Source organism: Homo sapiens, chromosome 21 (assembly GCF_000001405.40).
Source record: "Homo sapiens chromosome 21, GRCh38.p14 Primary Assembly".
NCBI lineage: Eukaryota > Metazoa > Chordata > Mammalia > Primates > Hominidae > Homo > Homo sapiens.
The window spans coordinates 13,621,569-13,646,326 of NC_000021.9; the positions used below are offsets into that span (position 1 = coordinate 13,621,569).

Genomic DNA, 24,758 nt, shown 5'->3' on the forward strand with positions numbered 1-24,758 from the left:
AGGGCTTTGTGCCTGCTTTGGCGGCACATATCCTAAAATTGGAACAATACAGAGAAAGTTAGCATGGCTTCTGCATAAGGAGGCAGCACAACTCTTTGAGGCATTCCATATTTTGTGCAGTCACTGGAAGATCATTTCACTATCTGCTGACTAGCTCTAAGGAAACAGTGTGAATCAAAGCAAAATGGGTGCCACCAAAATATCGAAATGTGATTTGTGCTGCAAAAATAGTCATGGAAGATGGTCTGTGAGATGATTTAGAGCTGAATAATGTGTTCGGTGCAAAATATATTAAGTATGTATGTCAAAAATTAGAGAATGTCAATTTGCAGCTTCTTCATGAAAACTGAAAAAAAATAAAAGTAGAGTTTTGGTCTCCCATGTCAGCTGGAATTGAACATCAATATAAAGCATTATCCTAACAAACATCTGCTGGCTCAGAGTTTGAGTCTGTAGAGAAGGATCATTGCTCCAAGCCAGGTCTTAACATCCATTGGTTTTTCTGCCCTTAGCACAACAAATTGGTCAACTCCGTAATAGTGGACAATCACATTATCTACTTTAATGAGAGATTTATGAAAAAATTTAGTTACAAACTATGACACAGTTGAGATGCCCTGAATTATAAGCCATAAGGAGTAGGACAACTAAGAAGCAAAATTAGGACTTAATAACATTTTCTGAAAACTACAGCATTTGCATATTAGAACCTGTGAACAAAATACACATGGGGTTTTATTTGGGATTCCAAGATAATTTTAGTCATAAAGTTTAGGAACAGATTATTCCATTGCTTTACTATTTCTCTGAGCATTTAAAAAATGTTACCTTGTTAAATATTTGTAACAACCTAGTGAAATAAGGCAGCAAAGTCCTCACTTTGTAGAAGAAGACATTGAGCCTAAGAGAAGAAATTTGTCCAAGAACTAATAGCTGTTCATTATGGAGCTAGGACTTATGCAGAGTTGGGACACTTTCTATTATGTCATGCTAATGCATGCTGATTTACTGGGTCACAGTGTCCTTGATTTATGAGCATTTCACCTAATTTTTTTTCTTCTTTAATTAGAAGCTTAAAGAAAAGTTTGTAGAATGTACTCATAAGTGTATGGGATAATACTGTTAAATTCTGATATTATGAAATTGTTTGAAATACTCTAAGAATTTTACATTTGGTAAGTATTTTTTATATCAGTATTAAAATAGTAATTTGGTTTATTACATTTTTATACATAGAATTTGTGAATTACTTTCTGACTATAAAGAAAAACAGATGCTAAAAATCTCTTCTGAAAACAGCAATCCAGGTAAGACTTGTGATAATGAATTACTTTAGGTCAGTTGTCCACAATGTTTTGGGCAGCAGGGACCAGTTTTCTGGAAGACAGTCTTTCCATGGGCTGGGGGAAGGTGGGGATGGTTTCAGGATTATTCAGCCATGTTTCATTTATTGTGCTACTTTATATTATTATTACATTGTAATATATAATGAAATAATTATACAACTTACCATAATGTAGAATCCGTGGAAACTCTGAGCTTATTTTTCTGCAACTAGATGGTCTCATCTGGGGGCAAAGTGAGACAGTGACATATCATCAGGCATTAGATTCTCATATGAAGCACACAACCTAGATCCCTCAGATGAGCAGTTCACAACAGGGTTCATGCTCCAATGAGTATCTAGTGCTATCACTGATCTGACTGGAGGCAGAGTTCAGGCGGTAATATGAGCCATGGGGTGTGGCTGTAAGTACAGGTGAAGCTTCCCTGGTTTGCCTGCTGCTCACCTCCTCCTGTGTGGTGTGGTTCATAATAGTCCATGGAGTGGTACCAGTCTGTGACCTGGGAGTTGTGGGCCCCTGCTCTAGGTGGTCCTACCGTAGATAAATAAATAAAAGTAAGGAATTTTTGATCACAAAAGAACGCCAAAGCACAAGTCATGTTACATATCCTTGTCCCAACAAGGTCTCACTCTTACTGACTTCATTCCTCCTCATTTGAAGTTGGAAAGAGATACATTTACTTTGTTGGAACAAGATGTGTTCTTCTACCTGCTGGTCAATTGTCTTGATAACAGTAATTTTGTTAGAACAAGATGCTCTGCTACCATTTACCAAAAGATTGTCATAATAAATATACAAATTGCCCAATTCTAGGCTCAGCAGATTATAATAAAAGTAGAAAAATGTTTCACATTAACAAAAATACTAGTATGCCACCTGGTTGTGGACACCTAATACATTGTATAACCCAAACTGTATTAGGACACCTTTAATTTAGCCATCTATTTATCAAAAAGCTTCTGTAAGTTAGGTTTTATAAGTTGCAGGAGACAAAGATGGAATAGATGTAGTTTTGATCTTTAAGGTGCTCATAGTAGAGCTGTCTCTATTTCATTTCTGTGCTTTTTCAACAGAATTTACAAAGAAAACCTTTCTATGTTTTCACTTGTCCACTTAACAAATAACTATTAAATGTCTTTTAGATACTAATCATTTTTCTAATGTTACAGAACACACACAATTAAAAATACAGACAGGAGCTTGTTATTATCATTGTCATTTTTATTATTTTACTACTTTATTCAGTGCTTACTGTGTGCTAGATGCCCACTGGAAGCTTATAATTATGATTTATTATATATTAATTATGTGCCAGACGTATGTGATGAGGAATGAAAGTTTTGAAAAAAAGTAGGTATGATTCAAGGTAAGCACGCAGAGTGAGAAGAATTTTTCTAGGTAAAGAAGCAGAAGAATAATGTTTGGCAGAAGGAACACGCAACAAGATTGTGTGTTTGCCAGAAGAACATCTAATGAGATTGCCTGTTTGGCAGGAAGAGCAGCAAGTGCAAAACACAAGATGCTGAGTGAACTTTGCAGGGTTTCTGAGCAGTTCACTTTTGCTAGTACCAAAAGTGTGAGACACCAGAGGTTGGGAATAAGGTGAATACTTAGCTAAGGCAAGTTTATGATAGACTTTTTTAATACTATAGAAATGAGTAGGTCTTACCCTGTGGGCCATGGGAAATTTACCAGGTACAATGCTTTGGACTGTAAATACTAGATGAGCAGTGGCTAAAACAGTAGGAACCAGAGTTGTTTTGGTTGTTCAGTGATATCCTAGGATCCCACTTGTCCCTCTTTCAGCTGTGCTGTTGGCAGTGTTTTATTCATGTCTCCTTTCATGGTTGGCTAATCCTCAGCAGCTCCAAACATCTTGTTCTCACAACACAACATTTCAAGGGCTGCTTTTCTTCACATGTGTCTTTTAAACAGGGAGAAAACTTAGAAGCATGCAAGGGGCTTCCTGTAACATTTCACTGGCTGGGTCACACCACATGCTCATTCCCAAACCAGGCACTGGGAAGGCAAATACATGATTAGCTTAGAATAAACATTTCTCTTTCTGAGGCTGAGGAGGGGGATTGGGATAATAAATATCCCAATAGACTTGTGTTTCTTCTGCAAGAAAGAATAAGGAATGGCTATTGATAGGGAGCCAACAATGTGTGCTGCAGGGGCTCATTGGAGAAATTTGAGCAGGGGAGTTACAAGATTAAATTTGAGTATTAAGGCATATTCTGCTTATGGTGTAAAATGGGTTAGCAAGCTTTTTCTGTAAAGGACCAGGTGGGAAATATTTTAGATTATGTGGTCTCTGTCATATCTACTTAACCAGGCTGTTGTCTGTTGTTGTAGTGTGAAAGCCACCATGATTATATGTAAGCAAACAGGCATGACTGAGCTCCTATAAAACTTTATTTACAAAGCCAAAAGGCAGATTGGATTTGGCCTGTGGCCTATAGTTTGCTGGGATTGATGGAAGATAACCATGTAAAGAAACCAGGAGAAAAAGGAAGCTTTTGCAGTAGTCAGCTATAGTTTCCATGTCACACATCCTTGGACTAGTATCAATGTATTCTAAGGTTTTCACCTGCCCATGGCAAAATAAAGTTTGGAATCTCAGTTACTCATTTTAATGTGTTGGCCTTTTTTTGGTGTTATGCTTTTTTCATTTGTTTTGCTTAATTTTTTTCATGTAAGAAATAACATTAATAGTTGGAAGGGTTGTTTGTAATAAAAGCCGTTTTGTAAATGTTTATGTTCTCAGTGGCAGTGGTAATATAAAGCAGAGGAAGAAGAGAGGTATAGTCAATATGATTTAGTGATAATTGAATGAGAAAGGTTTGGGGGACAGAGAGAAATGTCAGATAATTTACAGGTTTCCACGTTGTACACTAGTATTTAACCTGGACATGAGGAAGGAGTAGGAAATTTTCTCCATGACCTGTGTGAGTCACAGCTTCCAGAAAAGAAAGAGAGCAAGGAGCATATTAAGGAACCACAGCAAAGTCAGTCCTAGAGTGCCCTGCTTGACTTCATGTCATAGTTCTGACTTCTAAAAAATCATTTTCTGCAAAATGTGCTTTGTGTTTTTCCCCTCTTGCAGCCTGCAGCCAAACAGAATCCCTTTAGCAGGGCATTTTTGTGTTCTTCCTTTAAACAAAGTAACATAAAAATAACAAAAAAGAGTAAGAGAAAGAGTGTTTTTTGTATAGGCTAGCATTTAACTTAAACTTGAGAGCGAGTACTAGGATTATACTTAGAATTTATGGACTCGGTAGGAAGACTAGATAGAAATCTAAATATTGCTGACTCAAACACAGTGTGTTTTTTTTGCTTTATTGTCACAGCTCTGAATTCACAACTATTAGTTATATTCATATACACTATAACTTTATAAAGCACCTTCCCAAACAAATATTAAGTGATTTATTATAATTTCTATGACTTATTATAGAATTGACTTTCCAAGTGTTCATGAGAATTATTGAGAATTTGCTACATAGTATCATCTCAGCTGTGTCCACATGAGCTAGCTGTCACCTTGTCTTAATGAATAATGGCTCACTAGGAATATTGGTTTTGACATTAAAATGATCTACATCTAAATACAGATAGGACCAGGGACCACTCTTGAACGTTAATGTCTAAGCATCTTAAAAGTACACATAAGGCTTTCATAATCTGACTTCTGCCCTACTCTACATCTTTAGCCCTTTTCCCTGTGTGCCCTTTCTCTGGCATTACTGAGTGGCTCTTAATGCCCTACTCACTCCTCCTTCTATTGCAGGCAAATACTTTCACTCTTTCAGGCCTCGCTCCTGCTCTTGCTGCTGTGTGGCATGCTGTCACCCTTTCTTGCCCTCTACCACTTTTAATCTAGCTAGCCTCAATATTTAAGTCTCTGCTTGGGCAGGTGTTCTAGAAAAGCCATCCCTGACAGGCTTTATTTTCATTCTTTTTAAACCCTAACACCTAGCATGTGTGTAGCAGGACTCAATAAGAAATTTCTGAGTAAAATAAAGACTGTTTTTACAAAGATGATGTGCAAGACTGTCCTCTGCAGTCTTGGAGTAGAGGGGACAGACCTGTGGAGGAATAATGTACAGTTCAGGTGGTAAAGGTGCAGTAGAAAAATCAGTGAGGTCCTAAGGCTACCTCAAGAAAGGAGTTACCTGTTTATCTGGGGAAAGATCTGCAGAATCAAGGAAGACTTCCCATAGCATTGTTTTAAAAGATGAAAATAAGGCTGGGTGTGGTGGCTCACACCTGTAATTGCAGCATTTTGGGAGGCTGGAGCAGGTGGATCACAAGGTCAAAAGATCAGGACCATCCTGGCCAATGGTGAAACCCCATCTCTACTAAAAATACAAAAATTAGCTGGGCATGATGGTGTGTGCCTGTAATCCCAGCTTCTCAGGAGAATGAGACAGAAGAATCATTTGAACCAGGGAGTCAGAGGTTGCAGTGAGCTGAGATTGTGCCACCGCACTCCAGCCTGGTGACAGAGCAAGACCCTGGCTCAAACAAAAAAACAAAAAAAAAAAAGAAAAATGAATATAAATTTGTCATAATAGTGGATGGAAACATTTTAGACGTTAAGAAGACATTGTACACTAACAAAGGTGTCAGTAGTAATTTTGGAAATCATTTGTAAGGTACTATTGTTGCAGAAAACAGGAGGCAGGAGAGACCCAGTGGGTCAAACAAGAGGATTTTATTTAGGTGCACACCAGCTCAGCGGATTTGCATCAAAAACCTGAGCCCTGAACAAAGACAGGGCTTGGCTTATATAGGCAAACTTACAGAAGCAGAACAAAGGCAGTTAATCATATAGTGACAGTTTTGCAACCACTGCATAGCTTGTGACCTTGCAGCTGCATTGAAGGAAAACAAGAATTTGCAAAATATATGCATTTGTAAAAATAGCTATGAATAAATGCTGAGGGGGAGGGGAGATGGTAAAGGAATTTGTTTTCTTAACTTTTCTCTGGGATGTCTGGAGCCCATACCTGTGGGCTCTGGCTTCTCAGACAGGGTCACCACGACCTTTCCTGGGCCCTGCCTGATACTATCCTTAGAGTCAGAGTAGCTAAGTGCAGGAAAACTTGTTTCTCTTTAAAACTAAATTTTCTTTTCTTTACATTTCCTGCTTCACCATTAGGAAGTGAACAACATACTGAGTTACCTTATATGTTTCTACTGTATTTTAAAGTTGTGTTTCTGGTGGTTTTGTTCATTTATGTGGGGTGGATGAATTTGTGAGTGAATCACATCAGGTGTCTCCCCAAGTGGTTTGTTGAAGTTTTGGAGAATTATTTCCTAAGTAACTATTTCATGAAAGACTAAACACTCAATTAATGAAATAAAATAAAATGTTGTCTTCAATCTATTTTTATAAAGGCAATAGTTTTTAACTGTTCTAAGTGGTTCATCTTAACTGAATATATGGATTTCTCAACAGAACAAGACTTAAAGCTGACATCAGAGGAAGAGTCACAAAGGCTTAAAGTCAGTGAAAATAGCCAGCCAGAGGCATGGAAAATTTTAAATTTAAATTTTTGATTTAATGTTGTTTTCTTTGCTTTAACAATATTAGATAGTCCAAATGAAATTACCTTTCAGACTAGGTTTTAAGAATCAATAGATTCTTTTTTTAAGAATTTTTTAATAAGATTCTTAAAATTTATTTTAATAAATTCAGCAATCTCATTAACAGAAGAATCAATAAATTCTAATTTAACATTTGATATTTAGCTTAAAAACATAACCACTATAAAATTTAAAATACCCTTATTTTACAGTATTCTTATTTAAAATATTCTTGTCTGCCTTTTTGATTAGCTTATAGCTAATCTTTCCTTTTGGAATAGAGGCAAAAACATATTCCAGACCTTTGTTTGTTCTTTTATTTTAACAACACCCTAACATGATAAAGTAACATCAATTATTGGATTATATTATTAAGCAAAAGAACTATGAACAATGTAACACTGAAGGTCCCTGAGCTGGATTCATGGTTAAAGAATAATCACGGCCAGTGATTGAAAATCTGCAGTTTTATATTGTCAGTCACTGATACCAAGGTTAAAGACATATTCTGCCTTGTGATCTCTCACTGACTTCAGCATTTCTGTTCAGGGAGGGAACCAGGTCATAAAAGCAACCCAACTGCCTATTACAAGAATCATATCTTGCAGAATGGGACATTTGGTGTTAGTGCACAAACACAATAACCTTTTCCTTATTTTAGTTGCAGAAAATCAGTACAGATTATTAAAAAAAATTTATCCACTATAATTAGTACACCTTAGAATATATTAGAACTGGACTTAAGCAGATCATCTAGATACATAACACTATCATATTACAGCATATAATTTCAATTAAAATGTAAGAATTTGCATTTCTTTCTGTTTGGTGTTGATTTCAGCTCCTAATAATTTAAAGCGTGCCTACAATCCAATTAGGAATCTTTTAAAAAAGCACTTCAGTGCACTATAGGGGCTCACTAGTTAGGGTTTCATGAGATATACTTTTTCAAGTGAGGAAGCCTTTGGAACACTACAAATCATCTGCTAATTCATTTTTGGTAGATTTAACACATAACAAATTAAGTTTAGTCCAAACAAATGGTAACAAAGTTAAGTTTGCTGGTTCATGTTTTTATTCTCCCTTTGTCTGAGGTGAATTATTTTTCACATGTTAGTCAGAAGCCAATGATGTGGCAGTTGCTAAACATAGATTAAAAAATTAATTCTTAATTTTAATTATTTATTTATTTAATTATTTTAACAGTTAAATTTTATTTTATTTTCTAATTTTTCATGTCCATACTTGATTACTTAAGAATAAAATTATTTTAACATGCATTCCAAAAGAGGAGACATACACGGAAATACAACAAGCAAATTAACCTTCTATTTTTGCATCTGCAGAAAATGTCTCAAGAACCAGAAATAAATAAGGACTGTGATAGAGAGGTATACCTTTATGTTCAAATGTTTCTGTTGAATTAGATTTTTATGTTATGCTGTTTAACAAAGTGTAGTAAGTGTAGGCATACATGATCCTATCATGTAAGTAGCATAAATCACCAGTGAAAAATTTAATATTTAACTCAGAAAGAATTCTGTACATTGAGTTTTCAAGAGATACAAACCCTAGAGAGATTCTTTCATTATTATGGAACAATCCTGAATGGTGCCATAAAATGCTAGGTAATGCCACTTTAGGAGCTTTGGACCAATCATTTTATCTTTCTTGGTTTTAGTCTGATTATCACTAGATAATGTGGCTAAAGAAGATAATTACTTATTCTTTGTAACTTCCAGCTGGAAAATTGTATAGCTATTGAATGTGAAATTTTGGGAGCATCTAATTTTCTGGAATTCCACGCTTGCACTTCAGCAGTTTCACTCTGCTCCTTGTGTTGTGGCAAACTTTGGTTTTCATGTTTCAGTGAGCACCATCATGTTTTTGATATCCAGGAACCAAACGAAAAAAGAACGATCAAAGGCAGTGGGGGAGGAGAATATCTTAGTGCAGAAAAGGGCCATCTTCCTTTCTATTCCTGAAGTCCCCCAGTGTCTCATCCTCTACATCTGAGTGTTTAATGTAAAATCTAGGTGGTAAAGATAGAAGACACATTTTGTGTCTATGTCGTTTTATTTTTGTGTTCCCACGAGTCAAATGGGGTAAATTCATATATAAGATTCTGAAGAGTTTTTGGGAATAAAGGCACAAAATGAAGGAGGGCCCTTTTTGAATTTTGGAAAATTCTGTTTTATTCAGTCAAACAGCAATCAAGCAAACTTTACAAAAATTTCAATGATATACTAATGACATGATAATTACATCTTAAAATTATACGGTAATAGTTCTGTATATATGATCAAATTTAAGTGTGAGATTTTTAATGACTAAAATAATGGCAAACTGAATCAATTGATAAAATCAATTAAAAAGGTTATTTTTATTCAATAAAGTGATAACCATCCTTAATATCAAACTTCCACTCAAGGTTGAAGAAGAAATAAAGAAGCATGGAAGTAATCCTGTGGGATTACCAGAAAACCTGACTAATGGTGCCAGTGCTGGCAATGGTGATGATGGATTAATTCCACAAAGGAGGAGCAGAAAACCTGAAAATCAGCAATTTCCTGACACTGAGAATGAAGAGTATCACAGGTAAGCCTATGGCAACATTTAATAGGAGATAACTATATGCTGTCAAACTAATCTTAATTTGGGCTAATATTCATGATGAACAAATTTTATACTTTTACTAGAATATTCAGCCTTGCCTGTTAATCAGAAAAATGAAAATCAGTAAACAATGAGTTACCGTTTTTTCCAGTCATTAATTTATTTGAAAAATAACCAGCATTGGCAAATGTGAGGGAAAAGGCATTTTCTTTTCTTTTTAATGAACTTTTATTTTAGCTTCAGAAGTTCATGTGCAGGTTTATTATATAGGTAAACTGTATCATGGAGGTTTGGACTACAGATTATTTCATCAGCCACATAATAAGCAAAATACTCGAGAGGTAGTTTTTTGGTCATCTCCCTCCTGCCACACTCCACCCTCAAGTAGACCCTGGTGTCTGTTATTCTCCTCTTTGTGTCCATGAGTTCTCATTGTTTAGTTCCCACTAATGAGTAAGAATATGTGGCATTTGATTTTCTGTTCCTGCATTAGTTTGCTTAGGATAATGGCCTCCAGCTCCATGTGTGTTGCTGCAAAGGAAATGGTCTCATTGAAAAAGACATTTCATACACTGTTGGTAAATACATTTTGAACATTAATTTAGTAGCATATTCACACACACATATATATAACATAGTAAGGATATATAGGTATGTTAAGGATATTTGTATAGATTTGTCACATATATACTTATGTGTAAGGACATTTCTTACAGCATTATTATATCAAAAAGATAGATCCTTATCAATAGGAATTTATCATCAAAAGTAAATCCTTACCAATAGGAAATACCCCGAAAATAATACAGTATGCAACCATTTTTTACAAATGAGGTTAGATCTAGAGTATACTGATTATTCACAATTAAAATATTTAAAGCATTTAGTTTGGTAACACATCTTAAGATAATTTTGTTAGAATTCTTGTAATATCTGCTGTGTTGCAAATGGAAGCTACACGCTACATTGACACCGTACCTTGTTAGCAACAAGATTGCTAGTTATTAAATTTTTGTTGTCAGTGCCTGAGTGCCGAAATATTGGACCTTCAATCTGAATATTGCCAAGGGATTGTACATGGGGATCTATATTTAATATAAACATTTGAGTATATTGGGTAAAACTTTTATTAAAATATATCAAAGTATCTTTCATCTGCTAAACCAGGAGCTGGCCAGCTTTTTCTGCAAAGAGCCATTTAGTAAATATTTCAGGCTTTGTGGACTATATATATTTATTTTTTTTGAGACAGGGTCTCTGTTGCCCAGGCTGGAGTGCAATTGTGTGATCACAGCTCACTGCAGCCTTGACTTTCTGGGCTCTAGTAATCCTCCCACCTCAGCCTTTCTACTGTCTGGGACCCCAAGTGTGCAACATCACACCCAGCTAATTGACTCTATGGACTGTAATGTGAATAAGCATGGCTGTGTTCCAAGATTCTTTACTTACAAAAACAGGCAGTGGGCTGGATTTGGCCCACAGGTGCTAATTTGCTGACCCGTGTGCTAAAAGGAAGGTGCTGCTAATGCAGTAACACTTATTTGTAAAAGTGCCCTGCATGTGTGACATTATCTTTCCTTTGAGAAAAGGATATATTTCAGTATTCACCTCACCATATTTTTCCACAGTGATGTCATATAATTTTTAAAATTTCATTTGTAAAATAAGATTATTTTCTGCATTTCTGCCACTTTATTCCTGTCAATAGAACTCAGTATTTCACTGTGATCAATTACTTTGTATATTTGATGAGTATCAACTGTCCTAGAATTGGCTGATTTTTATCAAGCAAGAAATACTCTCCTTGAAGCTTTTAGTTTTTCTTGGTCTTTATGTATAAGCATGAACAAAATAATAATCAGCTTCTGTAATCTAGAAATGGTCAAGGCAACTTTTAGTTCTATAGTTTTAAGAATTTAACACCTTGGTCTGGCATTTTTAATGCCAAATGTGTATAATTTTTATAAGCTTTAAAATATGTAATTGTTATATAAAATTTGAAAACTACACCTGTTATGTAAAATTTGAAACTATTTGTCTACTACTTTTCCATGACTGTGGAAGAAAATTACAACATTCTCAGCCATGACTCCTAAGTATGATGTCCTTAAAAGAACTGTCTACACTCACGAACTCAAATTTTCTTTTCATTCACTCTTGATCTCATGCCAGTAAGTCTTCAATTTCAGCAGTCCTCCAACGTTTTTCCTCAAAATTATCACTAATTTTTTTCTGTAATCTAGGCACTTTTCTTCCACCTCATTTTATTTAATCTGTCAGCAATATTTGAGGCAATGGAGGACATCTCCTCCCTAACGGCGTCTTCACTTGGCTTTCAGGACCTCACTGCCTCAGGCTTTTCCTCCTACCTTTCTAGTCCATTCATCATGTTCTGTTTTGCTTGCTCCTCCTCATCTTTCTCCTTTTGGACATTGTTGTTTCCCAGGGCTCACTCCTCAATCTTCTTTCTTGTGACTTTTTCTTTTTCTTTTTTGGAGACAGAGTTTTGCTCTGTCACCCAGGCTGGAGTTCAGTGGTGTGATCTCGGCTCACTACAACCTCTGCCTCCTGGGTTCAAGCGATTCTCCTGCTTCAGCCTCCTGAGTAGCTGGCATTACAGGTGCATGCCACCATGCTCAGCTGATTTTTGTATTTTTAGTAGACACAGCATTTCCCCATGTTGGCCAGCCTGGTCTCAAACTCCTGACCTCAGGTGATCTGTCTGCCTTGGCCTCACAAAGTGTTGGGATTACAGGTGTGAGCCACTGCACCTGGCCCCTCATGACTTTTTCTACTGTGTATATGCTAGTGATTTCCAAATGTATGTCTCCAGCTCAGATCTCTCTCCTTAATTCCAGATTTCTATATCAGCCTGCCTACTTGTGACATCTCTATTTGGTTAGTTATTGGGTATCACACACTTGTCAGATCCAAAATTGGGCTACTGATGTCCTTCCTGAAATCTACACCTCATGCAGTCTTTCCTACTTTGGTTAAGGGCAACTCTTCCAGTTGCTCTGCCAAAAATCTCGGTGTCATTCTTGACTCATCTCTCTCTCTCTCTCTGACACCTCACATCTAATCTCTCAGTAAATCTTGTCAGGTCTACCTGAAGAATATGTCCAGAAGCCAGTCATATCTCATACATCTGAGCCACCCTCATCTGCAGTCTAGATGAGTGCCATAGACTGGGAATTGATAGTCCTGGTTTTTAAAAACTTCCCTTTTCATCAATTCTTAACTCAGTGGATGTATTTAAAGCATAAGTCAAATTGTGTCATTCCTCTGCCCCAGCCCTTCTGATTATCTCCCATTTCACTCAGAGTACATGTCAAAGTTCCTCCTAATTATCTCCCTTGCTCTGCTTCAGCCACACTGAATTCTTGCCATCCCTTATCTACCCCTAGTGCTTAAAGATGCCAGGCACACCTCTGTGATTTGCAGTTCCCTGTGTCTGGAATGCTTTTTCCCCAGATATCCTCCTAGCTTTCTCTTTCCATTCCTTCAGTTCTTTATTTAAAACCCCCTTTCTAAGAAGAAGAGGAAAAAGGGTAAAAAGAAACACATTAAGGAACAACCACTTTCTGAGGAAGAACGGTGTGCTACCCAGACGCGTCATGCTTAAGGTTCAATTGGGTGCCTACCAGGGATGCTCTCTAACGTAACGAAGGGAAGGTTCAGTGAAACAAAGTGATTTATCATCTCTAACTTCAAACCCATTTGTATCTTGACATCAACGCTGTTAACCTTATGTCATCATTTCTTAGAGACTTTGATATACAAATAAAAGGTTTTTGTATTAGAAAAAAAAAATCCCCTTTCTCAGCAGGGACTTTTCTGACCATCCCAACTTTCCCACCACCCTCCCCATCAAACACATAAACATTTCATTTTCCTGCTTTAGTTTTTCTCCTGTAACATCCTGTATATTTTGCCTTATCTGTCTGTTGTTATTGTGTGTTTTTCTCACTCTCATGAATAGGGTTTTTATTTTTCACTACCATATCCTCACTGCCTAGAAAAAGGCCTAGCATATTGGATGAAGCTACCTAACAAATACTTATTAAATGAGTGAAGGGAGTTTATCCTGGATATATTGTTTGATTAATTCTCACTTTAAAAATGTTTGACGTGGTTCATTCTAACAGTTTTGCCCAGTAATTACATGCATTTTTAAAATTGTTTTGGCTTTTTATAATAAGCTACATTCTTTATATTAATTTTTTTATTTAGAGAGAAAAGCCCAATATTGTGGTTATTCACTATTTATTCTTTTACTAGTAATCATAATTGTAATTATGGCAAACTGAGTCAGAGGAATTGCAAAGTTTACTGGTATTTTATTTTATTTTGAGATGGAGTCTCGCTGTATCCCCCAGGCTGGAGTTCAGTGGTATGATCTCAGTTCACTGCAACCTCCACCTTCTGGTTCATGCATTTCTCCTCCCTCAGCCTCCCAAGGAGCTGGGATTATGGGGGCATGCCACCACGCCCAGCTAATATTTGTATTTTTAATAAAGATGGGGTTTCACCCCATTGGTCAGGCTGGTCTCGAACTCTGTACCTCAGGTGATCCACCCACTTCGGCCTTTCAAAGTGCTGGGATTACAGGCATGAGCCACCGCACCTGGCCACTAGTATTTTATTTAAAAAAAAAATTAGGGTGGCACATTTAATGGACTTACAAATTCTTTTCAAGGGATTATGAACCTTTGGTATTTGAAATAAAGAGACAGAGTTGGAATTTTTTGCTTCCTATAGTAAGAGGAATACTGGTCAGGCACTGTCTATTCTGATGGAGCAGGTGCTGCTGCATGGCTGTATTTCAGAAGCAAGCTGCTCACATTGATATTGGTTGGTGAGCAAGAGCAGTGGTCATTGATTGACTAGATTTCAAACTGGCTTTGTGTGGCTTCTTGTTACCATTGGTACAAGTCATTTCTTTCCTAAGTTAGAGTCAACTTTAACCGAAAATTTTCTGTATAAAAGTTGCCTTCAATTAACTATGTTCAAAATGAAACTATTTTATATTCCAGAATTGTAGACTTCATTTTAAAATTTTGGTCAAGATGAATTGGTTAATAACAGCTCTCAGGAATATCTGTTTTCTTTTTTAAAAAATACATATTTCTCTGTATAATTTATTCCTTAAAATTAATTATTTTCTTTCTGTTTTTGGTATTTTTAGAAGCTTTTGCTCAAGTCCTAACATAATCTCCAGTAGGAGATTTTAGTCTCTTTGTCAGTTCATGTATGTATATGGTAGTGATACTCTACTCTCTTTTTAAATTCCTTTTCTTGTTCACTTTCTTCTCAGTACAATAACGGTGATATTCTTATACATCTTTACCTCATTTAAAAGTAATTACAGTTTGCTGCTGGCAAATTCAGCTTTTTATATTTTTACTAAATACTAGGCTAAAAGTGAAGAAAATTTACCAGGTCATTTTATTTTCAAACAAAATCATTACTAATAAAAATTGCTATCTTTGAAATATAAATAATGACATTTTGATATTTTAAAAGTAAGGATACACCCCCCCCCCAATAGTTTGGCTTTGTGTTTCCACCCAAATCTCGTGTCAAATTGTAATTCCCAGGTGTTGAGAGAAAGACCAGCTGGGAGGTATTGGATCATGGGGTCGGTTTCCTCCATGCTGTTCTCGTGATAGTGAGTTCTCACAAGAGCAGATAATTCTATAATGGGCTCTTTCCCTTTCACTTCTCTCTCTCCTGCCACCTTTTGAAGAAGTTGCCTGCTTCCCCTTTACGTTCTGCCATGATTGTAAGTTTCCTGAGGCCTTCCCAGCCATGTGTAACTGTGAATCAATTAAGCCTCTTTCCTTTATGAATTACCCAGTCTCAGGTATATATATATATTTTTTTTTTTTTTTCTTTATTCCACTCATCAGTTGGTGGACACTGGCTGATAACATATCTTTGCATATGTGAATTGTGCTGCAGTAAACATATGTATATAGGTGTCTTTTTGAGAGTATGATTTCTTTTATTTTGGGTAGGTATCCAGAAATGAGAACGCTGGATAGAATGGTAAGATCTACTTTAAAAGAACTCTCCATAATGTTTTCCATAGATTTGTACTAATTTGTATCCCCACCAGCAGTGTATAACTCTTTTTTCACCACATCCACACCAACATCTGCTGTTTTTTTTATTTTAGTAGTGACCATTCTGGCTGAAGTGAGGTGATATCTCACTGTTGTTTTATTGTACATTTCCCTGATGATTAGTAATATTTAGCATGTTTTTATATTCTTGTTCACCATTTGTACATCTTCTTTTGAGCAATGTCTATTCATGTCATGTGCCCACTTTTTAATGGAATTATTTGTATTTTTCCTGCTGATTTGTTTGAGTTTCTGGTAGGTTATGGACATTAATCCTTTGTTAGATTCATAATTTGCCCATATTTTCCCCATTGTATAGGTTGTTGGCTCACTTTGATGATTATTTCTTTTGCTGTGCTGAAGCTTTTTACTTTAATTAGGTCTTTATTTATTTATTTATTTATTTTTATTTTTGTTGCTTTTGCTTTCAGGGTCCTCATCATAAATTATTTGCCTAGGCTGATGTCTTCAGGTCTTAGGTTTAGGCCATTAATCCATCTTGAATTAATTTTTTTACATGGTGAGAGATAGAGATCCAATTTTATTCTTCTATATGTGACTATCTTTTTTTCCCAGCACCATTTGTTGAATAACGTGTGCTTTCTCCAGTGTATGTTTTTGTATCCTTTCTCAAAGATCATTTGGTTGTAAGTGGCCTTTTTTCTGAGTTGTCTATTCTGTTCCATTGATCTGTGTATCTACTTTTATATCAGTACCACGATGTTTGTTACTGTGGCCTTAGAGTATAATTTGAAGTCAGGTAATGTGATGCCAACATGTTTGTTCCTTTTGCTTGGCATGTCTGTTGCTATTCAGGCTCTTTTGTGGTTCTACATGAATGGCAGCTTTTTAAAATAACTCTGTGAAGAATGACATTGGTACTTTGGTAGAAACTGTATTGACTCTGTAGACTACTTTGGGCACTATGGCATTTTCACAATATCAATGCTTTCAGTCCAGGAACATAGAATGTATGTTCATTTATTTGTATCATCTGTGATTTTCTTCAGTGGTGTTTTCCAGTTATCCTTTGATAGATCACTCACCTCCTTCATTAAGTATATTCCTAGGTATTTTACTGTTTTGCAGCCATTGTAAAAAGAATTGGATTCTTGATATGACTCTCAGCTTGGTTGTAGTTGGTGTATAGTGGTACTATTCATTGGTATTTGTATATTTTGTAACCTCTGAGACTTTACTAAATTCATTTATCAAATCTAGGAGTGTTTTGTAGGAGTCTGTAGGGTTTTCTAGGCATAAGATCATATCATTGGTGAAGAGAGAGTTTGACTTTCTCTTTTCCAATTTGGATGCCCTTTATTTCTCTTGCCCAATTGCTCTGCCTAGGGCTTCCCAGTTTTCTTCTTAATATGCATGAAATAAAAGTAAAATTGAAAGCGATTGTTGATCAGTTTATTTCACATTTCTCTCTCATACACAAATAAAATGAATTCAAAGTTCTATGTTAAAAACACAATATTAGAGCCTGTCTTGTTCCAAAGGGAATTTCTAAGTTGTCTATAGATTACAGAGGAATCAAGAATATAAGTGGAAACTGTTTCCAAAAAATAAACATAAAAAGTTTAGGTTAACACAGGGGTTTCCAATCCCCAGGCCACAGACCAGTACCAGTCCCTGGCCTGTTAGGACCTGGGCCACACAGCAAGAGGTTAGTGGTAGGGAGCAAGTGAAGCTTCATCTGTTTACAGCCACTCTCTGTCACTCACATTACCTTCTGAGCTCCTCCTCCTGTCAGATCAGCGGTGACATTAGATTGTCATAGGAGTGTGACTTGAACCCTATTGCAAGCTGCTCATGCATGGGATATAGGTTGTTCACTCCTTATGAGAATCTATTGCTTTCTGATCTGTCACCATCTCCTGTCACCCCTAGATGAGACCATCTAGTTGCAGGAAAACAAGCTGAGGGCTCCCACTGATTCTACATGATGGCGAGTTATATAATTATTTCATTATATATTAGTAATAATAGAAATGAAGTGCACAATGTATGTAATGTGCTTGAATCATCCTGGAACCATCCCCCACCTCAGGTCCATGGAAAAATTATCTTCCACAAAACTAGTCCCTGGTGCCAACATGACTGTGAGAGCAGGTTTAACAGATGTGAAACCCCTTTGTCTTGTCTTGGATTAATGTGCAGATATACATTGTGTGAATGACATCTGATGGTGCCATCTTGCCCTGTAGATCATTTTAGGGACACCTCCAGTATTTCATGAAAATTAAATTTTCTTCTAGTGATGAACAAAATGATACCCGGAAACAACTTTCTGAAGAACAGAACACTGGAATATCACAAGATGAGATTCTGACTAATAAACAAAAGCAGATAGAAGTGGCTGAACAGAAAATGAATTCTGAGGTATTTTCTTTAGTCATTTTCAAATGTTTTCATATGTGTATATATTTTTAAAAAGCTTTATTTTGGAAGGTATAAAGGATTTTTAAATCACATATATACACACGTGTGTGTGTGTGTATATATATGTGTGTGTGTATATATATACACACACACACACACACACCCTGTATATCCTTGGTCATATATTTATATATGTACATATAGGATAAAACCATGTTCTTAATTCAACTGCATTTGCCTGCAACAGTCGAGTAGTGACCTTCACAATGGCCTCAATCCAAAGGAAAAGCATTTGATATTTTTCATAAGAATTGATTATCTTTCCAATATCAAAAATAAGTTTTGCTACTAACAACAGATTTGCTAGTTTTGGGACATTAGTTCTTTTTAAAATATTAATAGAGAAGTCAGTTTGTTATTTTCACTAACAGGAAAGTAGGAAATGTACAGCTGGGTCAGAGGCCACATTGTGGATGTCATTATCCTTGCTTTTGAGGAGAGGAACAGTTTGCTCCGAGTAGTTTCTCATTTCAATGCAAAGAGCTTTGAAAACAATGACATGCCATGATACACATTTAGTGATAATTTATTGATAAGTATTTTGTTCCCAGATGAATAGTTCAGTATGTTTCCCCTATTTCACACTTACTACTACAATGTTTCAAACATTATAAAGAGGAAAGAAAAGTTATTGCAATGGCAAATAATCTCATGATTTCTAAGAAAAGCCTTGTAAGTTATATCTTATTTACCATTTGTATTTTGAAATAAAAGGTTTCTTTTATATTTATATATTTACACCACAGAAGCAACTGTGATTTTGTGGAGGATCACTAGCAGTAGCATCAGAAGACCTGGCAAAAATCCTGCACGTTGCATATATACGTGTGTGTGTGTGTGTGTGTGTGTGTGTTTGTGTGTGTGTATTCTAGATGGAGTCTTGCACTGTCACCCACGCTGGAGTGCAGTGGCACAAACTCAGTTCACTGCAACCTCTGCCTCCCAGGTTCACACGATTCTCCTGCCTCAGCCTCCTGAAGTGCTGGGATTACAGGTGTGAGCCACTGGTCCTGGCTGCATATATTTTTTGACCTCTCCTTTTAAGAATCGTGATCCTAAATGAGTTGAGTGTTGTATGTAGAAGTGCAATGCTTAGATGCAGATGTGTACATTGTAGAAGGGTACAATGCTTAGATTTAACAGTTATGAATAAATGTAATGCTTACAACTGACTGTAAAAATATTAGAAAAGCAGTATATTGATAAAACATTCCTCAGAAAAAGGAACTTAAAGAACTTTGAGGAATTGCTTCTGTCCTAATATATGCATAGCTAAGGCTCTTATGATGGTGTGGTTTATAGGTTAGATATCAGAGTGTAAACCCAATTTAAAAAATGTAGCCAAATATATTAATCTTCTATTTTATGCCTCTGGGTTTTTTGTAATTCAGAGAAAGGCTTTTCCAATTCTGAAATTCTTAAAAATCCTCTAGTGATTTATTTTTCATGGTCTTTAGATAAATATTTCAACTTTTTGGAATTTACACTCTTTTAGATTTGAAGTTTTGTCCAACTTTTTTCCAGTTAAATATCCACTATGGGAATTATTTCATTATACAAATATAAATGTCATTCTTTAATTTTAGAAGAAATCATGATATGTCATTCTATTGAGTGCTAACTAAAAGTTCCCTTTGTTTACTTAGCTTTCTCTTAGTCATAAGAAAGAAGAAGATCTCTTGCGTGAAAACAGCGTGTTGCAGGAAGAAATTGCCATGCTAAGACTGGAACTAGATGAAACAAAACATCAGAACCAGCTAAGGGAAAATAAAATTTTGGAGGAAATTGAAAGTGTGAAAGAAAAGACTGATAAACTTCTAAGGGCTATGCAATTGAATGAAGAAGCATTAACGAAAACCAATATTTAAGTACAGTGGACAGCTTAGGATTTTGACAACTGAGAATGCTCAGTTCTGAACTGGAGAGTGTAAGACACAGCTAGGAAACACTGGAAATGGAAATTCAATCATGTCATTGTAGACTGACTACTGCTCTACATGATTGTGATCAAAGTCAGATAGCTGAAAGGGACTTCTTTCCAGAGAACAAACATGAACAGGTTTATTTACAGGAGAAAATGAATTCTCATATATCTCACCTAAAAGATAACAGTGAGATTCTTTCTGAACAACTCTAACGCTGACAGTAAAATTAACAACCTAAAAATTAAGCTCCATCACACAGGATAAATTCTGAGAGAAAAGATGAGGCAGGCCACCATCTTTCCTGTTTGGGCAACTTAGCCATTCCAGCGTGCGGGCTTTGGAGAGTACAAACCCACCAGGGGCAGAAGAGATCCTGTGGCATAGCACAGCTGCTTTACCAAATCATGGCCAGAATGCTTCTGTAAGCAGGCCCCTGATCCTGTTCCTTGTCACTGGACAGGATCTCCCACCTGAGGCCTCCAGCTACACCCACCAGTGTTCCCTGGCCAATGGAGATTTGAAACCTTCCTGGGACAGAGTTCCCAGAGAGAGGGGTGGGCCATGACCTTTGTTGTTTGGGCAACTAGCCCTTCTGGCCTGTGGGCTTTGGAGAGCCCAAGCTGACCAGGGGTGGAAGTGGTACCTCAGCACAGAACAGCCACCCTGCGAAAACGTGGCCAGATTCTTGTTTAAGCCAGTCCCCAACCACATTTCTAATCACTGGCTGGAGCCTTTCAACCAGGGTCTCCAGCCACCTTCACTGCTGTTCTCTGGCTGACAGAGGTTTCAGGCCTCCTGAGTGAGAGCTCCCAGGGGGAGGACCAGACTGTCATCTTTGCTGTTTGGATGACTCAGCCAGTTCAGTCTTAGAGTTTCAGAGTGTCTGAGGAGACCAGGGGCTGAAGTGAACCCCCCGCACAGCATAGCCACTCTACAAAAACGTGGCCAGACTTCTTTTTTAAACAAGTCCCTATTCCTGTTCCTCCTTACTAGGCAAGACTTCTCAACTTGCTTCCAGTCACATCCTACAGGTGTGTTCAGATTGGCAACAGGTTCATACCTCAGAGGTACAGAGCTCCCAGAGGGAAGGGCAGGTTATCGTCTTTGCTTTTTCGCAGGCTTCACTGCTGATACCTTCAGCCACTGGAAAATACGAGGCAATTGGCGACTGGAGTGGACCCCCAGCATACCACGGCAGCCCCACAGAAAAGTGGCCAGACTGTTATGTGGGTGCCCATTTCCATATCTCCTCGATGGGCAGGTCTTCCTGGCCTGGGTCTCCAGCCAGCCCCCCACTTGAGCTTTCAAGCCAGTAGCAACTCAGCAACTCCCTGGACAGAGCTTCCAGGAGCAACAGAAATCCTCTCTGCCACTGCCTCTGCAGTGGAACTGCCCTTGCTACCCTCAGAATATCAAGGGAGCAAAGACCCTAAGTACCATATTGACACCTCCAACAAGCTGCAGTTGACACAAGGAACAAGTCAGTCCATCTTCCACAGGTACAACACACCCCTTACTGCTCATCACCAGACAAGGAACCCTGGCTTGGGCCCACAACACAGACCCTCCATCCTGGGGTGATTACATTAAGTAACTGCTAACTTACACCTCTCTGGGGTGGAGCCCCCAGGAGACAAGGAAAGTGGTGGAGCAGCAAGTCAGCTGATGTGGAGCCCGGAGGGCAGGGACAGCTATGTCTCTAGGCTCCACTTGCTCTTATGAGACACTTTATCCCAGCACTTTAGGAGTGCTGAGGTCAGACCAGCCCCATCTCACATGCAGGATTGCCCAGCACAGATCAGGTCTAAGAGTTCTCTTCGTAAAAAAGGGGACTTGCTTAAAAAAGAAGTCTGGCCACGTTTGTGTAGAGCAGTTGTGCTGTGCTGAGGATTCACTTTTGAGAGAGTTCTCCTCTGAGACCTGATCTGTGCTGGGCAGTCTTGCACATGAGATGGGGCTGGTCTGACCTCAGCACCCCTTAGTCTGCTTGCCTCTCCCAGGACCCCAGCCAGGCCACACCTGCTTAGAGGGCACTTTCGGGTGCCCACACCATAGCTTCTGTACAAGCGGACCATGCCTGATCAATGGAGAGCTGCAGCAAGGTGACCTCTACAGCCACGCACTAGCCTGCACATTACCTCTCCATACTGCAGCCCTTTATATGGAAACTTCCTACATCACTTTGCTGTGTGTGTTTACACAGGTGGGTTTTGTTGTACTTGCCCTAACAGCATATGGGAATGCAGCACACACCCCAACCCACACCAACTGCCACTGAAGATGAAGCCATGGTGGGCACAGAACCAAAAACCCCACCCCTGCTAGCATCTCACCCTTGAGGTAATGCTGTGCAGAGGAAAAGGGACCTTCTTATACCCTGAGTGACCACTGTTGCTTGGGGGGGATCAAAGAAGGCACCTTCACTGGCCAGCCACCCACCCCAAACCAGCACTACCTCCAGTGCAACAGCACACACAGCAGGGGCCCCCTGGCCCACACCCCAGCTGTTTTGCCTCCACCACTGGGTGAATGCCCACAGGGAGGCAGGGACTTTTGCATCTGGTAGCATTCTGCCACAGCTGCCGCACTTTGGTCCCCTCAGTGCAGTGGACTCCAAACCTCGAGGAGCCAGAGAACAAAGTTGTGGCCCAATACAAGTTCCCCAGAGTTAAAGCACACAGTCCAAGAATTGGGAGCTGCATGTTGGCCCCTTAAAATCCTCCAAAAACAAAACCTGTTGGCTGAATCCACCTTACACCACAATCAAATCCTCAAGGTCATCAGATATAATAAAGGAAAAATACCCTGTCCAAACGTCAGCAACCTCAAAGATTGAAGATGGATAAGCCCATAAAGATGAGAAAAAGACTCTGTGCAAGAACACTAAAAACTCAAAAATTCAGCATGCCTTCTTTTCTCCAAATGACTGCATCAACTCTCCAGCAAGTGTTCAGAACTGGGCTGAGGCTGAGATGTCTGAAATGATACAAGCAGAGTTCAGGATATGGGTAGGAACAAAGTTCATTGCGTGAAAGAAGTATGTTGTAATCCAATACAAGGAAGCTAAAAATCATTGTAAAACATTGCAGGAAGTAACAGACAAAAGAGCAAGTATAAAGAAGAAAATAACTGACCTGACAGAGCTGTAAATCACACTAGAAGAATTTTCATAATGCAGTCACATGGTGATTGTGTGTGATTGCATTATGAATATTATTGTATGTGTGGGCACCTGAGAGTGCCCTGTAAGCAGGTGTGGCCAGGCTGGGGTCCTGGGAGAGGCAAGCAGACTAGGGAGGGCTGAGGTCAGACCAGCTCCATCTCATGTGCAAGACCATCCAACAGAATAGACCAAGAAGAGGAAAGAATCCCAGAGCTTGAAAACTGGCTTTCTGAAATAAAACAGGCAAACAAGAATGGGGGAAAAAAGAATGAAAGGGAATGAACAAAACATCTGAGATATATGGGATTATATAAACGACCAAATCTATGACTGATTAATGTACCTGAAAGAGATGAGAATGGAACCAACTTGGAAAACACATTTCAGAATATCATTCATGAGAATGTCCCCAACCTAGCCAGACAGGCCAACATTCAACTTCAGGAAATCCAGAGAACCTCAGTAAGATATGCCATGAGAAGATCATCCCCAAGACACATAATCGTCAGATTTTCTGAGGTCAAAATAAAAGAAAAAATGTTAAAGGCAGCTAGGGAGAAAGGCAACATCACCTGCAAAGGGAATTCCATCAGATTTAGCAGACCTCTCAACTGAAACTGTACAAGCCAGAAAAGACATTCAACATCTCAAAGAAAAGAAATTTCAACCCAGAATTTCATGTCCAGCAAAATTAAGCATCATAAGTGAAGGAGAAACAAGATCCTTTTCAGACAAGCAAATGCTGAGGGAATTCGTTATCACCAGACCTACCTTACAAGAGCTCCTGAAGGAAGCACTAAATATGGAAAGAAAAGACCACCACCAGCCACTACAGAAACACACTGAAGTACACAGACAAGTGATGCTAAAAACCAACTACATAAGTCTGCAAAAAAGCCAGCTGACAGCATGACGACAGGATCAAATCCACACATACCATTACTAACCTTAAATGGAAATGGGCTAAATGCTCCAATTGAAAGACACAGGGGGCAAGCTGGATAAAGAACCAAGACCCATTGGAGTATGCCGTCTTCAAGAAACCCATCTCACATGCAGTGCCATACATAGGCTCAAAATAAAGGAATGGAGAAAAATATTTCAAGGAAATGGAAAACAGAAAAAAGCAGGTGTTGCACTCCTAGTTTCTGACAAAACAGACTATACCAATACAGATTAAAAAAAAAAAGAGGGCTGGGCGCGGTGGTTTACGCCTGTAATCCCAGCACTTTCGGAGGCTGAGACGGATGGATCACAAGGTCAGGAGATCGAGACCATCCTGGCTAACACGGTGAAACCCTGTCTCTACGAAAAATACAAAAAATTAGCTGGGCATGGTGGCGGGTGCCTGTAGTCCCAGCTACTTGGGAGGCTGAGGCAGGAGAATGGTGTGAACCTGGGAGGTGGAGCTTGCAGTGAGCCAAGATCGTGCCACTGCACTGCAGCCCAGGAGAGACAGTGAGACTCCGTCTCAAAAAAAAAAAAAAAAAAAAAAAAAAAAACAGAAGGAGATTACAAAGGTGGTCCTGACCTTTGATAA

The 24,758-nt window shown here is 38.2% G+C and overlaps 1 protein-coding gene, 1 non-coding gene and 1 pseudogene across 4 annotated transcripts in view; 2 read left to right on the plus strand and 1 right to left on the minus strand.

The window, feature by feature from the left end:
• The window catches only part of POTED (POTE ankyrin domain family member D), a 36,047-nt gene extending 11,792 nt beyond the window's left edge, over positions 1-24,255 (plus strand). The window contains exons 6-11 of one of the 3 annotated variants that reach the window (NM_174981.6): positions 1,237-1,307; positions 6,814-6,884; positions 8,288-8,332; positions 9,373-9,539; positions 17,947-18,070; positions 19,777-24,255. In NM_174981.6, the coding sequence (NP_778146.2) occupies positions 1,237-1,307; positions 6,814-6,884; positions 8,288-8,332; positions 9,373-9,539; positions 17,947-18,070; positions 19,777-19,998 (700 nt within the window). In that variant the 3' untranslated portion in view covers positions 19,999-24,255. Of the gene's footprint in view, positions 1-1,236; positions 1,308-3,704; positions 4,663-6,813; positions 6,885-8,287; positions 8,333-9,372; positions 9,540-17,946; positions 18,071-19,776 lie in introns of those variants that run through there. The other 2 variants (XM_006723997.4, XM_011529550.3) reach the window with 2 other exon arrangements.
• Positions 9-115, plus strand: RNU6-286P (RNA, U6 small nuclear 286, pseudogene; annotated as a pseudogene).
• MIR3118-1 (microRNA 3118-1) lies at positions 23,207-23,282 on the minus strand. Its single transcript, NR_036061.2, has one exon. It is a non-coding gene; the product is annotated as a microRNA 3118-1 (primary transcript).
• Positions 24,256-24,758: the final 503 nt, after the last annotated feature.